The sequence below is a fragment of the Homo sapiens genome, chromosome 12 (assembly GCF_000001405.40).
Source record: "Homo sapiens chromosome 12, GRCh38.p14 Primary Assembly".
Lineage (NCBI taxonomy): Eukaryota > Metazoa > Chordata > Mammalia > Primates > Hominidae > Homo > Homo sapiens.
The window spans coordinates 113911695-113929417 of record NC_000012.12 but is presented as its reverse complement, the minus strand read 5'-3'; the positions used below and the strand labels follow the sequence as shown (position 1 = coordinate 113929417).

Genomic DNA, 17723 nt, shown 5'->3' with positions numbered 1-17723 from the left:
TTGTGCTGGTATCTGAGTCTCGATTCTGGGCTTATCCGAGGGAGGAAGGCAGTGTGTTCAACTGATGTTAAAGAGACAGCATTATCACGGTAGCTGTTTCTGTAAGGGCTTAAAAGGGTTGTTTTATGACAAAGTGGTCGAAGCTTAATTAGGACTTGAAAGCATTAGGCTTGCATCAGAAAGGGCAGGACAGACAGAGGCATCTTTTGTGCTTGGCGGTGAGAGTATGTGGGATGCAGCTGAACCCCAAGAAGCCCCCTTACATCACAAAGAAGTTTGAACTATGCAAGTGAAGGTGTGAGTAGAAGAAGCAGGCTGTCTCCATCAGCTCCAGCGTACCCGCCCGTGGGACCTCCAGGTGCTTCTGCCAGGCTGGGGTGCAGGGTTTAACTCTTAGGGGAGGTCACTGGTCATCTGCTTAGAAACATTGAGGGTGAGGGGTGTGAAGGCACAGCCTGAGAACTGCTTTGAAGAGTTGCTAAGACAGTTTGATTTCCTGGGGGATATGGGAATAGCTTCAGAAGCCTTGTCTTTGGAGGAGGAATTTGTCTCCAGGTCCTAATCATGTGACTTAGGGAAATTGGGGAGCTTGAAACGAATTGAACACATTTCCTCCTAAGATTTCTGAAAAGATCATGACACTGCCCTCTTCCAACTTCCTGAGGCTTCTGGCAGCTGAGAATGAAATCTACATGCTTAGCGCCACTGCAGGCTAGCAGGTCTAGTCTCCCTGTTCCCAACTCCCTGAGCTGCAGACACACACACACACACACACACACACACACACACACATCCCTTGCTAACTCACAACTTCACATCTGCTCTTCCTCTCCCTAAAATGCTGTTCCTTCAGAGTGGAAGCGGTACAAAGTGCTAGCAGTGACAGGTTGAAATGACGACCATCCCTAGTGCCATCCTCCAGAAATAAACCAGGAGCACTTTGTGCATCTCCTTCCTGTGATCACTGTGTGTGTGTGTGTGTGTGTGTGTGTGTGTGTGTATGCACATGTATGTTTTCTCATAAATGTGCAGATCATGGTTTTGTTGTTGTTGTTGTTGTTGTTTGTTTTGTTTTATTTTTGAGATGGAGTCTCACTCTGTCACCCAGGCTGGAGTGCAGTGGCATGATCTCAGCTCACTGCAACCTCTGCCTCCCAGGTTCGAGCAATTCTTGTGCCTCAGCCTCCCAAGTAGCTGGGATCATAGGTGCCCACCACCATGCCCGGCTAATTTTTGTGTTTTTAGTGGAGACAAGGTTTCACCACATTGGCCAGGCTAGTCTTGAACTCCTGACCTCAAGTAATCCACCTGCCTCCGCCTCCCAGAGTGCTGGGATTACAGGCATGAGCCACCGCACCTAGCTTAGATCATGGTTTGGATTACATTGAACATTTTCTAAAATTACAGTTATATACTTTTTTAATATCTTAATTTTTCTCTAACTTTTATATGATGAGCTTTGTTGTGTGTCATTAAACGTTCTTCGGAAACGACATTTTTAATGACTACATATTTTTCCAGCTTTTGGTGGTACTCTACCTTACCTAGTCTCTTGTTTGTGAACATAGAGTATTTTCCGTTTTTCCCTGTGATGCATAACTCTGAATTTAATATGTATAGACAAAACCACACCTTTTGTGTATATGCTTCCTGAAGTAATGCATATGAGGGATTTCGATGGTATGTAACATTCTTTAGGTTCAAGGGGGTATTTAGACTCTTCCTAAGTTTTGTTCCCATTCTGTAATTTTTTAAAAGTTTTAAGTTGCATTTTAGTTTGAAAGTTCACTAAGTGCTGGTTTTTTTTTTTTTGTTTTTTTTTTTTTGTTTTTTGAGGAAAAATAACGTTTTGCTTAGGCTCACGGTTCAGTAAAACAGTTCACATGGTAATTTATTTCCAAGTTCAAATTAGTGTGAGCTGGTCCTGTTTAAGGCTCCATTTGAGGGCTGTGTTTTGTATTCCTTTCTCTTTACAACACAGCAGGGGCAGGACTTTCTCTCTGTCTCAAGAGTTGCTGAAGCTCAGCACAAGTTGGGGATCACGGTGCCCCTTCCTGCCACTGCCCGCAGAGGCAGAACCCCTTTACCTAGTGGGCTTTTTGCAGTTGGCCCCAGGGCTCTGGTGGGTTTGACATTATTTCATGGATTTGATGTTTTTGTTTTTGTTTTTGTTTTGATGGGGGTTCAGTGCCTGATGGCGAAACCCCAGAAGATGAAAATCCAACAGAGGAAGGAGCAGACAACTCTTCAGCAAAGATGGAAGAGGAGGAGGAGGAAGAGGAAGAAGAAGAAGAGAGCCTCCCAGGATGTACTCTGTTTATTAAGAATCTCAATTTTGACACAACAGAAGAGAAGCTGAAGGAAGTGAGTGGTTTCTCAGCCCAGGAGGGAGGGGCGTGGGATGGGAAACCCCAGTCTACTGATACGGCCACTGCATTTATTCTGCCCTGAAACATGATGCGTGTTAATATGCACTTGGGAGCAATAACCAGCACCACCTACTTGACCCTTTCCCCTGGGGTGTCCAGTAGATGACTCAACGGAAGACTAGAGCAGTAGCAAGGCTGGCCGGGGGCCCTGATAGGGGCTACCACATACGCTTTGGAGGCATACCGGAATCTTTCGGGAGACCGTGTAATATGAAGGCAGTAGTTGTTTCTATGATGTAAATACCCAAAAGTAAATGTCAGCACAATCCTCTCGCCCGCTGGGAATAATGGAGAAGCCACATCAGTGAGTGAGGGTCTGGGCTTGACCCTGGAATCCCTGGATGGGGTGAGATTTTTGCATTTATGGGAAAAGGGAAGGGGATGAAAGGACAGGGAGCTCCACATAGAAGGTTAGTAAAAGCCAAATGAGGGCTGCCCTGAGTGAGGGCCGGGGGCTTCTAGAAGGAAGTGGACCAGCGATCAGGAAACAACGGGGCCTCCAGTTCCAAAGGAGTGGGGTCTGCAAGGTCCCCAATTTGTGGCACCTCCCTCAGGAGACTGTTTATTTCTAGAGTCTGGGCTTGGCACAGAATAAACACTCAGTGGGTTTTTCAGTTTTTTGTTCTGTTTTAATGAATAACAGCAGGCTGATCGCCATCAACTTGTTCTGGTAAGGAAGCTGGCCATAAGAATTGACCTGATTGATTTCTAAAAATCCCTCTGAACCCTAAAATTCGATCATGGGGTCAAGAGAGAAGACAGTGTCCACTGAACCTCAGGGGTAGGAATATGGTGGGCAGAAGATATGGAGGCAAACATTGGGATGTGGTAGAGAGGCAGAGGGTCAGAGCCCCTCTGACACCCTCTGGCTCAGCCTCTGTGATGTGACTGTCCCCTTACCTAGTAGAAGAGCAGCCCCAACAGCAGAGATACCCTGACTAAAGCAGCAGCGTTTAAGGAGCCAAGATTCACCTTCTTCAGCAATTGGAAACCCACCCTTAGACTTGTCTTTGGCTATTTCCTGGTTCCATTTTTGTTTTGCTTTGCTTTTAAATGGCGGCATGTACTTGTAGCATCCAAAAGGTAGATAGATTTGAATATGTCAGATAGATTTGAATGTTAGTTTTATTTTTTTTCTGGTGCGGGTCTGGTATGGGAACATCATTATCCGGGATCATTGTTTCCTGGGAGATGCACTCAAACAGCAGCCCAAGAGCATCCTCTGAATTCAAGGATTCTGGAGCTGGAAGTCATAGCCAAGACGACCTAGTTCAGTCTCTTCATGCAACATGGCTGGAGACTGAGCTTCAGAGAGGCCAGTTCACTGTCCTTAGGTCACACAGTCCACTTGAGGCCCTGCGGGGAAGAGCCCGTAGTTCCCAGGGCTCCTGTCTCAGCACCTTGAGTGGAGAGCCATGCGTAGCGATCAGTCTACCTGGGCTTGGATCCCAGCTTTGCCCCTTGCTAATGATGTGACCCTGAGTGAGTCCTTCAGCCTTTCTGTGCCTCAGTTTCTTCATCTGTAACATGGGGATGTTAATAGACTCTTCTCATGGAGTTGTTTTGATGATTTGGATGAAGGAGATACTCCAAATAAAGCATCTGACACTTTAAACACAAGAGTCAGTAAGCAGCTGCTGCTCGTAGTGTTTGTTTCTCAAGTTTCTCCCCGGCCCCTGGGCTTCCCCATTGCTCATTTAGTGAATGTTTATTGGGTATCTGCCTTTCCCTGGGCTCTGTGTGTAGTGCTGAAGACGTAGCCGGGAACCAGGTAAACATGGATTTTGCTCTGGGTGGGTTTCAAATTCTAGCAAAGGAGACAGAAAAAGTAAAGGGGAAAATAGAATAGACTATGACTTAAAATTTCTGTAAAAATTATTCTGGCATTTGGTGCAGGGGGCAGTGAGAGAGGTCCAGACTGGGGCAGTAGACCCCATGCTTCGGAACTTAGGCCCAGCTTCCCGATTGCATGATCTGCAGTCAGTCTCTCGCTGTTCTGTGTCCTACTTCCTTCTTCTAAAACTGGAATGAGAAACAAGCCCAGCTGCTCTTATGGGGAACTCTAAGGGACTGCCCAGGTTACTTAAAGGAGGTCATCACTCATCACCTCAAAATGTTTTTGGGACCCCAAGGTGTCCATATGGCAAATTTGGGGGTATAGTGTTTGACAGGTGCCCTTGCCTGCATAGTGGTTTAGAGCTGCTGATGATACTTGTTACTTTCTTATCCAGGTGTTTTCAAAAGTGGGGACAGTGAAGAGCTGCTCCATCTCCAAGAAGAAGAACAAAGCAGGTATTCCGCATGAAATTCGGAAAGTGTTCAGTATTCAGCCGGAAAGAGTGGATTCCAAAAGAAGCTCCAGCTTCAGACAAGGGGTTGGGGTAGTTCTCCCTTGCACATTTTGAAGGTTCTCTTTTTTCTGAAGCATGGTCAGCCTCAGACTCTTTGAAATAGCCCCTCTTTCTGTTCCCCTGGAGTCTCCTTTCCAGTCGAAGCAGCCTCTTGGGTCAGATCCTTCTGAACCTAGAGCCTCCACCACCTCAAACTGTCAGGGGTGGTTTCAGAGCAGTAACATTTGTGGGCAGATAGTGAGGACCCTGGATGGTATCAGGAACCTCTGCCTCCTCCCAGCACTTTTGTGCTCTGGAAGTTTCCTAGGAAATAGCAAGAAACAACCAGTCTTGCACTCTCCCTCTTCCCTTCTGAGGGAGATAACCCAGTTGTAGAACTTCTGGAACGTTCTACCGAGTCATTAACCACACAGATTTTCCTGAGTCAATAACCATGCACCTCCCAGGCCAGTGGGTACATGGACAGGCAGAGAGCACCCTCATCTCTCCATTCGGCCCTGGGTGCTATTCTGAGTCTCCTGGCCTCTGCTGGGCTCCAGCCCTGGCTTCCTGCAGGGGATACGTCCTTGCTTTCGCACAGCCATGCCAGCCCTATCCTGAGTCCCTTTGGTTTGGCAGGATTTGTAGGAATGCTACATGTGTCAGCCCAAACTGTGTCCTGAGCACCTACTGCATGCAAAGTACTGGGTGGCCAGAATGTCTGCTGTTGAGTTACTCCTCAGACAGTCCCCAGGCCCCACCAGGCAGCAGGCACGGTGTTAGTTATATAAGACTGAGGGAGACGCAGCCCTGCCCGCAGCATGCACACAGTCTAGCTAGAGAGACCAATGTGCTGGTGGTTACAGCAGAGTGCAGCAAGGGGTTGGATGGCAGGGACAGGCGTCCAGCACAGGGGACACCACATCAGCCCGAGGCTGGGAGGGGTGGGGGGCAGAGCAGCCAGGCGGCGGGAACAAGGTGTTCAGAGGCCACTCACACTGCAGTGGCCAAGCCTGGGGAATTCGTTGAGGAAGAGTCAGGAGATACGCCTACACCTAGAAAGGTAGGCAAGTTCCAAACCATGAAGTGGCTTTTATGCCACACACACAGAAGAGTTTTGACTTTTCCCCAGAAGTACTGGGGAGCCATGGAGGGTTCTAAGCAGACATACAGCACAGAAGTCAGAACATCCCTTGTATTCGTTTGCCGGGCTGCCATAAGAAAGTGCCACAGACTGGGTGGCTTAAATGACAGAAATGTGTTGTCTCACAGCCTTGGAGTCTAGAAGTCTAAGATCAAGGTGCCAGTTGATTTGGTTCTTTCTGGGGGCTGCGAGGGAAGGTCTGTTCTAGGCCTGTCTCTGGGCTTATAGATGGCCTCCTCCATGTTCACAGGGCATCCTCCTTCTATATGCCCATCCCATGTTCAAATCCACCCACACTTTTTTTAAAAGAACAGCAGTCATCCAATCATATTGGATTTAGGGCCCACCCTAATGACTGCATTTAATTTATTTTTATTTTTCGAGACAGAGTCTCACTCTGTCACCCAGGCTGGAGTGCAATGGTGTGATCTCAGCTCACTGCAACCTCTGTCTCCTGGGTTCAAACGATTCTTGTGCCTCAGCCTCCCCAGTAGCTGGGATTACAGGCATGTGTCACCACACCCGGCTAATTTTTGTATTCTTGGTAGAGATGGGGTTTCACCATGTTGGTCAGGCTGGTCTCGAACTCCTGACCTCAAGTGATCTGCCTGCCTTGGCCTCCCAAAGTGCTGGTATTACAAGCGTGAGCTTCCGCGCCTGGCCTGTGACCTCATTTTAACTTGGTTACCTCTGTAAAGAGCTTGTCTCAGATAAGGTCACATCTGAGATACTGGGGGTCAGGATTCTACATGTGAGTCTGGGAAGACACTGTTCACCCCTTAACATCCCTGTTCTCCAGGGTCTTCAGATATAGTTTTGGGTGCAAGGAAAGGCAGCTAAGTACCAAGTTAATTATGAGAAGGACCAGTTTTGAGGATTTCAGGAAAAAAAAAAAAAAAAGTTATTGCTGAAGTCCAGGATGGGGGTCAGATTGACAGAGGTGCACCCAGGCCAGCAGGTGGAGGTGGCTGTCCCTGCCTCTCACTGCGCCCAGTCAGATGCTCTGTGGGGCCAGCCTTGTACTCCTGGGGAGCACTCTTCAGCATGTTTTAGAAGTGGTTATCTGATCTTTCCATGTCATAAGCAGCTCTTAAAACATACACTGTCTTTTTCAAGGGCCTGTATTTGAGACCCCTGTTCTCTGGGGCCCATCCGTCACAGTTTGGTGAAAATCTAAACAAAGTATATCAGTCAGGGTTGCAGCAGGAAACAGAAAGCACTCTCAGCTGGGGTTGGAGCAGAGATGTCTGTAAGGAAGGGGCCGACGTGTGGCTGGGCTAAGGGAGCCCACAGGGATGTCCAGGAAGTGGGCTCTACAGGAAGAATGCCTTTCCGCCTGCCGTGCCTGGAGGGGCATTAAAGGAAAACGTGTGACCAGAGCTCAGCTGAGAGTTGGAGCCACGAGATAACCTGCAGGAGTGGTGGCCGTGGATTGGACGTGGCCACTGCAGAGCCACCCAAAGCAAGGAGGCGGGTGGGGACATGTGGAAGGATCCAGTACTCCAGCCTCTCTCTCCTCCATCCCCCCACCCCGCAATGCCAGATCAGAGCCTCTTGCTGGCTGATCCCAACAGGAAGCAAGGAATCTGGGGAGCCCAGGTAGAGCTGTCTATAGAGGTCAGTTTCCCATAGAGGATGGTGGCGGAGAGTGGATCTGCATAGTGTCAGTAACTCAGAGTTGAACTTGACCTTCTCACAGTTGCCTTTCACACAGTCACTGCACTTTTAAAATCTCACAGGTGCACAGACATGCCAGCCCACCACCTGCAGCCTCGAGCCTCCAAAAGAGAGCTTTGGAGCAGTATCTGCTTGCAGAACGAACATTTAAAGTCGCCATGGGGTGGCACTGGCTGTCAGTTCTGTCTGAGCCATGTATGGGCAATTAATGGAATTCCTTAATGCAGTTGGCTCTTATTTTGTAACACCTGCTGTCAATGGAAAGGCAGGAGCATAGGTCTCACAAACAGCACAGTAAAGGTAAAGATAGGACCTGCAAAGTGAGCCAAAGGTAGAGAGCCTTGAGCCTCATTTGAACCCATCAGACTGAAGGGAATCTTCTTTGAATTCACAATAAAGAAGAAACCTAACAAATATGTATGAGATGCTGGGGTGTGGGTGGAAGGTGGGGGGACATCAAATCTAATGTCAAGAGGGCAAGATGTAATTAGGGATCTTAATGTTTTTTAGTGCCCTATAAAAACACTCCTCCCTCCCCAGTTACACATAGTGAGGAAGCGGAAGTTTCTGATGAAATTTTTGCAGTATTCTTTGCTATCTGAACTCTTGCTACTTGCAACCTAGAAGTAAGGAACCAGAGAAGTTTGAATAATGCAGTCGCCCACATGATCCAAACTTTATATCTGAAACCCAGGAAACTGAATGTGATTGGCTGGTGAGAAATATTTGTGAAGAGCAAGCCTTTGGTGCGTTTGACTCTCACGCACATATTCATTTTAGGCATTACGTGTGGAGGCAGAGGACTGCCCAGGTAGAGGTTTTGCCACTTGCCTTCATGATGGTCATCTCTCTTAGGTCAGTCTCCCTCCCAAAGCAGAATCCTATTATGAAGTTAATTATCATGTCAGTCATCTGTTAATTAATAGTCAAATGGGCCTCAGGTGGCAGCCATGTTAACTGCGTTGGCTGATTCGTCAAGATGACTAATGATAAACAGCAAGCCAGGTGCTGAGATTTTTGGGGGGAATGAAGGGGGTATGAAAAGAAGAGGAAATACAGCGCAGGTCTGGGGGCCCGTCACAGCCCTTGCACTTGGCCTTGTGCTTCCGCTTCACCGACTGGTGTGATTTCCACCTCTCTCTCTCAGGAGTGCTCCTTTCCATGGGGTTTGGATTTGTGGAATACAGGAAGCCGGAGCAAGCCCAGAAAGCTCTCAAGCAGCTCCAGGTAAAGTGAAGATTCTCAGCTGAGGGCCACGGAGGCACTTGGCAGGTAGTGGGAGGTCCCGTCAGCCCTCTGAAATTGAGTGAGAATATGTATGAAGTCTACACTTGACCGGGCCCATTGCTTTTCCCAGATCTCTACGGGACTGTGGCCCAAGAAAAAATTAAGAACCTTTCCCAACACTCCACGGTCACCATAGTTCATTCATTTGATCCACAGCACTATTATCAAGGGCCTGACGTGAGCCAGGGGTGGTGGTAGGCCTGGGAGAGGTTGCTCACGTGGGCCCCTCTTTCTGGTGGGGTAGACAGGCCATGGACCTCTGAATAAACATGCAGGACCAGGTCATGAAGACAAAGCTGCGAGTTGGGGGTGGAGGTGGGGCACTTAGGCTGTGTGGTCAGGGAAGGCCTCTCTAAGGAGGTGACAGTTGAGGCCACACCTGCTTGGCCAGAAGTCAGCTGCACAGAGATCTGGGAGGGAGGTAGTTGGGGAGGAGGGACCATGTGCAGAGGGTCTGAGGCAGGGGCCATAAGGTGGGAATGAGCTTAGTACGTTTGAAAAGCTAAGAGGCCACTGTGGCAGGGGCGGCGTGGGGTGGCGGTTCAGGGTGCAGGATGAGGAGAGAGGTGTGCAGGGCAGGATCTTCTAGGCCATTTTACTGCTCAGCCTAAAGGCAGTGGGAGACCATTAGGGGGCTGTGAGCACACTGGCTTCTACTCCAGCCTCTGCAGCTGCTGGTGTGGAGAGGGGACGATGGCTGGGGGCAGGGGGCAGGTAGGAGACCCTTGAGTCATCCAGGCTTGGCCAGTTGGGGAGAAGGTGGGGAGAACAGGGCTGAACCGAAAGCTGTTTGGACAGAGACTCAACATCCTATTCAGACAGAGAAGGGAGATATGCCTTCCTGCTGGATCCTAAGTACAAGGACAGATTGATACTCTCTAGCAGGAGGGGAGTTAGGGCTGTGGAGAGCAAAACAGCCTGGGATTGGCACCATCCCAAAGGGCAAATTTTGCACCAGCTATAAGTTCTTCTTTTTTCTTGAGACGGAGTCTCACTCTGTCGCCCAGGCTGGAGTGCAGTGGCGCGATCTCGGCTCACTGCAAGCTCCGCCTCCCAGGTTCACGCCATTCTCCTGCCTCAGCTTCCAGAGTAGCTGGGACTACAGGCGCCCGCCACCAAGCCCGGCTAATTTTTCGTATTTTTAGTAGAGACGGGGTTTCACCGTGTTAGCCAGGATGGTCTCGATCTCCTGACCCCGTGATCCGCCCGCCTTAGCCTCCCAAAGTGCTGGGATTACAGGCGTGAGCCACCATGCTCAGCCTAAGTTCTAATCCAGAAGCTCTGTGGCTTTGCATTAGATGATGCATCCTGATGCATGGTGCCTAGGATGGCCTTCAGCTAAAGTGAAGCAGATGCAGTAGGTGTTAGTAGCTTGAGAAGGTATCCTCTGTTCCCTTCATAATGCCCCACATCCTAGGCCCTTCCTGGTCAGGGGCTGTGTACTCATTTAACTTAAAATTGGCTCTGCAGGTTCAGTGGTCCGTGTTTCTCTTTCACGCGATATAAGATTCTATGAAATTTCACTTTGCACGTGTACTGTATTATGTTCTGGACATCATTGTGTGCATGCATATGTGAATATTGCCTCCAAGAATTGTTCCTACGAAGCTCTGTGTGCTGTATTTTATGGGAGATTTAAGGGATTTTCAAGGGTAATTTTGCTAATACACCAGTTCTGCCTTGAGGGACCAATGTTAGAACCTAGCTTTAGATGCAACTCCACTAGGATTTAGAATATTTTTCAGGAACATACAAACTAAACCCAACTCTCTCTGCAAGCCAGACCTAAGGGCCTTACTTTGCCTGAACATGCTTATAAACAATGGAAAATTCCGTGTCCCTTGAATGACATCTAGGTCAAGGCCTACCTGTGGCTTAAGAGAGCGTCCAAGGGCTGAGTCTCTGACCACCAGCTGCTGCCTGGGCACGGTGTGAGCCATTTCAGGGAAAAACCATCCTCTGTCCTCTAGACCAGCTAGCCCCACTCCCCGGGGAACAATCAGGCTCCCATCTGCGAGCCAGGGCTCTGCTCTGGTGAAGGGCAAGGATTCGGGTGAGTATTTCTCGGGACAGAGAGATGAGCCATGTTGTCTTCTCTCTTAGGGTCACGTCGTGGACGGCCACAAGCTGGAAGTGAGGATCTCGGAACGAGCCACTAAGTGAGTCTTCAGTGTCCTCATTTCCTTTCCTACGAGCTGGGGCTTCCTGTGCTTGGTGCCGGCCACCCTGGAGGCTGTCTCACAACCCTTCAATGTCCTTTCCACCTATCCCTTTACCATTTAGGACTCTTCCTAATTAAGATGCCTAATTATGTTGGCATTTACCAAGTCCGACCCTGATTTTCCCAGTGAACTACAACAGTGTTAGTCCTTTGGGTGAATGTTTAATGCACAGGGGCTTTTTTTTTTCTTTTTTTTTTTAATAAGAAAAGGAACAAGTGCAGGAGAAACAGGCAAACAACACTCATCTTGGGATAAATAAACCAAGGAAGAGCTGGAGGTTGCTGGTGCTGTGGATGAACCAGAAGAAGCTGTAAAACCTAGACATTCAGCTTTATGGGACGTGCTTTCTTAGAGCTGAATGGCAGTGCCTACGATGGCCTCCAGTTAATGGGAAAGAGATTCCGTAGGTGTTAGAGATGGAGGCAGACCAATTTGCCCAATGACCAGTATACTGAAGTAGGGGGATTGTTTGGAGATTTATCTTTGCACCTCCATTTCTACCTGCTTGTATATCTAAATGAACTATTACACCCGACGTGCCTCCAACAGTGTCCGGCACATAACAGGTGCCCAGCGTAAGCCATTATTGTCATTATCATCTACTTGCATCGGGTGATAAAATGAATGCCTCTAACAGCCCTAGAGCTGGTTTCAGATATTTATTTGGTAGTTTTCAACAAGTTGGTAATTTGTTGTGGTCATCCGGCAAATTAGCTTCCAGCGAATTGACCTTTCTTTTTCCTTCTTTCTTTGTTGTTAATGCTTCCTGTGAGTCCAGCTTGGGCCAGCTCTGGTGTTTTTCACCCATTGTGGTCTGTGCTATGTTAAGCATCCTTGGAGGGAAGATGGCTTGGTACAGAGGCCCTCAGAAGTCTAGTGGGGGTTCCTGAGCTGCCAGTATAACAGAAGGAGCTCAGGCTTTGAGCCCCACACCTGTAGTTTCTAATTCAGGAGCTCTGTGACCTTGCATGGGTGACTTTGCCTCTGAAGTGAAACGTGCTAAGTAGAGGTTGTGTGTTAAGCATCCAGCACTTGCAGTGCCCATGAGCACTGAGCCAGCAGTTTCTTTCCAGTACCCTATCTCCAGAGAGCCAGCCTGAATTCAGCCTTGCAAGGTCTCACTTCCTAGCCAGTGTTCATGGAACCATTGTTTTACTCAAGAAAAAATTACAGCAAGCCCACTGTGTACCACATCCTCCTTCTAGGCATGGGGGATAGTGTTTCCTTGGGAGTTTACACCCTAGGGCAGTGCTGTTCCATAGAAGCTTCTGCAGCAATGGAAATGTTCCACATCTCTTCTGTCCAATATGGTAGTCAATTGCCACACATGGCTATTTAGCTCTTGAGATATGGCAAGTGCAACTGTTTTAGCTATCTATTGCTGCATCACAAAGTATCCCAGAACTTAAAGGCTGAAAAGAAAACATTATCTCATAGTTTCATGGGTCAGGAATTCAGGAGCAGCTTAGCTGGGAATTCTGGCTCAGGGTCTCTCATGAGGTTACAGTCAGGATGTCGGCTAGGGCAGCAGTCATCTGAAGGCTCAGCTGGGGCTGGTAGATCTGTCATTAAGATGATACACTCACATGGCTGCTGGCAGGGGTCCTCAGTTCCTCACCTTGGGGATCTCTTTCTGGGACCGCTTGAGTGTCCCCATGGCATGGCAGCGGGTCTCTCCAGAGTGAGTGATCCAAGAATGGGGAAGAAGGAGGCCACAATGTCTTCTACAACCTAGTCTTAGAATTCACACACCATCCCTCTGCTGTATGCTGCTTGTCACCCAGACCTGCCCTGATACAGCATGGGAAGGGATTACCCAGGGCATGAACACCAAGAGCCAGGAATCACTGGGCACCATCTTGGAGCCTGATACCCCAGCAACCGAGGAAGTGAATTTGTAGTTTTGCTGCTTCTATTTTTTTGAGACGGAGTCTCACCCTGTCACCCAGGCTGGACTGCAGTGGTGTGATCTTAGCTCACTGCAACCTCCGCCTCCTGGGTTCAAGCAATTCTCGTGCCTCAGCCTCCCAAGTAACTGGGATTACAGGCGCCTGCCACCACACCTGGCTAATTTTTGTATTTTCAGTAGAGACAGGGTTTCACTATGTTGGCCAGGCTGGTCTTGAACTCCTGACCTCAGGTGATCCACCTAAGCCTCCCAAAGTGTTGGGATTACAGGTGTGAGCCACCATGCCCAGCCTAGTTTTGCTTCATTTTAATTTAGATTCAACTAGCCACATGTGGCTGGTGGCTGCCATATGAGACAGCATAGCCCCAGAATGACAAGACAAAAAAAAGAAAAGAAACATGATTAAATGTATAATGTACTAGCACAGGGATCAGTGCCAGGAAGAGAAATGAAGCTGGGGGCTGTGGGTGAGGGGGCTGCCATTTTAATGGAGACAGGGAAGGCCTGTGAGGAGGTGACGTGGAGCAGGCCTGAAGGAGGTAAGTCCTAACATGGTCATTATCATAACAGCTGCTGTTTATTGAATGTTTACCACATTCTGGGTCCAGTGCTGAGTCTGCTTATTAAATCTTCAAACAATCAAATTAGGTGGGCCTATCATTACACCCATTCTACAGTGGAAGAAATGGAGGCCCAGAGCGGCCATGTTACTTGCCCAAGATCGCAGAGATCCTAAGTGTCGGATTTGGCATTCACACCCAGCTTGTTAACTCCCAGCCTTGCTCACTTCCCTACCCTGTTTTGGTGGAGTGGGAGGTTTCCCTGGGAGAGCAGGGAGACAGGCCAGGTAGCACTGCATTGGGGATGGCCTTGAACCTGGGCTGAGAGTGTCCTTGCTCGCCACCTGGTCCATCTGCATGGTTAGGCCCCCGCATGTTCCTCCTCGGGTTATTGATGAAGTGTCACAAGACCTTTGGAAACCAACTGGGGTCTTTCTTTGCAACTGGAGAGAAAGACACAATGGAGATTGGGTTTGGTGAGAAACCAGCCCCACCCTTAGCGGGGCTCCTTAAGTCCCTGGTGGCCCCGGAGTCTCTCAAATGAAGGTCAGCAGCCACCCAAGCACGGATGTGTCCCCCTGACGTCTGCAGCTGTTTTGGGTCCTATCACCTGGTGGGAGACGGCCTTCCTCTCCTTTCACGTTGGTCCCGCACCCCACGCACACTCCTTGAATCCATCACCTGAATATTCTGATGGAGGCGTAGTGGAGTCAATGTTGGGCAGGAGCTGCTGAAGCTCCGAATAACTTGGACCCTCTCCCCCCACCACTCCAGGCCAGCCGTGACATTGGCTCGGAAGAAACAAGTTCCCAGAAAGCAGACCACCTCCAAGATCCTGGTGCGGAACATCCCCTTCCAGGCCCACAGCCGGGAGATCCGAGAGCTCTTCAGGTGAGAACTTCAGGTTTAGTCCAGGGGACTGGCGTGTGGGCGGGGAGCCTGCCCGAGTCTCAGGGAAGATGGCCTTTGGGTCCTGGATGGTTCCGTTGCAGGCCGGCACAGTGGTCTTTCAAAGGTCATCTTTTGGCTGCTTTTGATTTATCTCCCTTAATCTCAGATGTGGCTCCCCAGAGCACTGTGCAGGAAAAAAGTCAAAACAGCCAGGCTTCCCCCTCTCCGAGGCAGATGGAGAAAGGGCAGGCAGGCTTCCCTGTCCCCATCCACAACGTGCAAGAGGGGCAGGGGCCCCAGTGGCTAAAACCCAGCCCTACCCATGATCTGCTTGAAATTTCCTCCATCCAGGCTACCCCTTTGGTTTAAGGTGCTGGTTTTCCACCTTAGCCACACATTCCAGCCACCTGGCAATGGCTAAAATACACCTTTCCCGAGGCTGCACCCCCAGAGAGTTGGATTCCATTTTTCAACAGTGGGGTCTAGACATCGGTGTTTTGCTAAAAGCTCCCCAGGGGATCCTAATGTCCAGCCGGGGTTGGGGACCAGTGGCCTAAATGACTCTATGGAAATGAAGGCGAATTACCTGCACACATAAAGCAGTCCGTCAGCACCTGCTTGCACAGGGGTGGAAAATGCAGCTGTCGCAGGGACCCAGCCGGTAACGGCAGCAGGCTGGGTGGGGACTGAGCAGCAGGCGGGCCTCTCTCTGGTCATCCAGCTGGGATGCCATGCAGGAACTCAGGCTTCGTAAGACCAGTTCCCATGTTTTGAAAGAGAAACCAGCCATGTGGATTCTTAAGGAGAATTCATCAGCAACTAATTCACTTTTTAAAAACAAAACAAGTCTGGCCTGCCCCAGGGCCCCTAGTTGGTGATCCCTACGCTGCCATGTTACAGTGTTTGGCTTTTCAGATTAGGTAGGCACCACCCAGCACCAAGCCATGAATGAAAGAAACGTCCTCATATCAGGGCCTAAGGGGAATGCTTGAAGCCAAGGCCCCCCCACCCAAGGCATGGGCAGGGTAATAGAGAGACCATCTAGCTCTCAGAATGCAAAGGCAGATGAAGTCAGCTTCACCTAAACACATTGTTGAGGCTTCGGTGGGATCCAGGACTGCTCGGGGGACCTGCAGCACCATGGCCTGCGCGTGGGTGAACATTTAGGATTCTAGACACTAGGTCTCGTTCGTTCATTCTACACTTGCACAAGGGTCCAAGAGTGAAGCCTCTGTTAGAGTTGCCAGTTAGCATCTTGCAAGGTAATCTGTGGTTACAAAATCAGCCTTGTGTTTTGGAGATGAGAAACAATTATCTTTGTGTGGCATCTACCTTCTTTGCTCTCACTCTGTAGTTTGAAGAATAAGAAGTCATGTGGGGAACTTCAGATATCTTTGTCCTCCTTTTCCCCTCTGTTTGTTCTAAATCATACACTAGTATTCAGTTCATAAACAGATGTGGTGTGTGGTGAGCTGGGATCTGAGGCAGAGACCAATCCTGCCAGTATCTGGGAAGCAGGATCTTAGCTATGATCTCCGGGTATCCTGCACAGCAGGAATAGCCTGGCGAGATGGGGTCATGACCTGGGGGGAGGTTTCCCATTTCCCTAAACCTCGACTGATCAGTCGTCCCTCCAGGAAGGTACATATCCTTAGCCTCTCGGTATGTCTGCTTGTTTAAACATGCTCTGCTTTTTAAAAGGAGTCCAACTTAAGAACTGCCAGATTAAAACGGGCTTGCTAAGAAGAGCGCATGTTGATCGGGAAATAATATCCCGCTGAAATGACAGTTTCACTTGGTTCTGCAGTATATTTAGGATGACACTTATCCGGGGAAACAAAAGACCACAAGGGAAGAGAGAGCACTTTGTGTGATCTCATGTATTATATTTATTTTTAGAAGACAGGGAATTAGTGTCCACTGAACATAATTACATGTGGTGACTCTTCTCCTTGCCATTGTTCTGATGAGAGTTTTCTTAAAACCCTGGAAACGTAAGACCTTCTTGGAGGGCCGTACCTGCTATTGTTGTTCACTCCGGCTGGGGATGTAAGGCAGTTCCTCGTTGCAGACAGCAGGGGTCGCTGTGAGCCTTCTCAGGGACTTCAAGATTGTCCAGGGAAGCCCCAGACAGGATTTCAGACAAAGCCACTGGCCGGTAAAGGTCATTAGCCAGGGGGAGGTTTCAGGGTTTCGGGGAACCAAGCTGGTCCATTTGGGCAGGCAGGTTCTATGGGTTTCTCCTACCAGGTGTAGTAAAAATCACAACTCCCTTTTATTACACGCTTGCTGTGTGCGGGGCTCTGAGCTTGAATGCCTTCCCGTGCAGAATCACCTCTTTTAAGCCGCACAGCAGCCCTGCGAGGGATGGATGCTGTCATTCCTTTTGCACCCAGACAGAAACTGGAGATGGAAACTAGGGAGATGGAGTGTCCTGCCTGGGACCATGCCGCTGAATGGGGATTTGGATCTAAGTCAGCCTAACCCAGAGCCCCGGCTTGGAGCCACTCCTCTCTGCTGCCTGTTTTCTTGGGTCTAGAAGGAACTGTCTTCCTCCAGATCATTCCAGTGGGACCAAATGACAGCGAGTGTGTCATTTATACCAGGCACTGTGCTAGGCACGAGGCATGTAGCCATTTCAGGAGAGACTCAGGTCTCTCTGTGGGGGACCAGAGAGGAAACTGACAGGGACAGCCAGTGGGACAGGTGTGCAGGTGAGAGTGCAGGGCTCCGGAGAGCATTCTCTGGGCAGGGCCTCAAGCTACCCCGCCTGCTGGAGGGGAGAGAAGGCAGCCTCCTAGCCCGAGGCAGCAGTGCCTGGGGCCCTTCCCGGAGGCCACCAGCCTTCCACTCGGGCCTCAGTGCACCACACTCCAGCCCCTTAACTAACCAGCCTTGGGTTAAACCAGACAGGCATCAGGAGGCACTGCATTTCCATGTTTCTGTGGGATCACTGTCTAGGGTGACTCAAGGATTATGCTTTTGGAAACTCAGAGAGAGGCACAGCAGTGGATTTGCAGACAGCGATTCTCGTCTTCTCTGTGGCTCTCTTTTCGGACTTCAGTTTCCCCTGGCATAAACTAGTGGTAGTAACACTAGTGATAACATACACTAATTTGTGATGATGCTGTGGTAATACGTGTGAGTGTTGATTTCTTTCTCATGTCCCCGGCCCCGTGCGCTGCAGTGCCTCATGTTTCTGGGGGCCCATTCATCACCGTGGCCCGGTAAAGTAGTTTCATGTCTCTGTTTCTCAGTGAAGAAACCAGCTCCA

The 17723-nt window shown here is 49.4% G+C and overlaps 1 protein-coding gene across 7 annotated transcripts in view; it reads left to right on the top strand.

The window, feature by feature from the left end:
- Window positions 1-17723, top strand: part of RBM19 (RNA binding motif protein 19) — a 149586-nt gene that overhangs the window by 36908 nt on the left and 94955 nt on the right. For all 7 annotated transcript variants that reach the window (XR_001748932.2, XR_944848.3, NM_001146699.2 and 4 more), the window contains 5 exons: window positions 2189-2364; window positions 4661-4721; window positions 8728-8807; window positions 10971-11026; window positions 14333-14449. Coding sequence is in view for 5 of the 7 variants with exons in the window: in NM_001146699.2 (NP_001140171.1) it covers window positions 2189-2364; window positions 4661-4721; window positions 8728-8807; window positions 10971-11026; window positions 14333-14449 (490 nt within the window). In the remaining 2 variants the exon portion in view is untranslated. The remainder of the gene's footprint in view (window positions 1-2188; window positions 2365-4660; window positions 4722-8727; window positions 8808-10970; window positions 11027-14332; window positions 14450-17723) is intronic.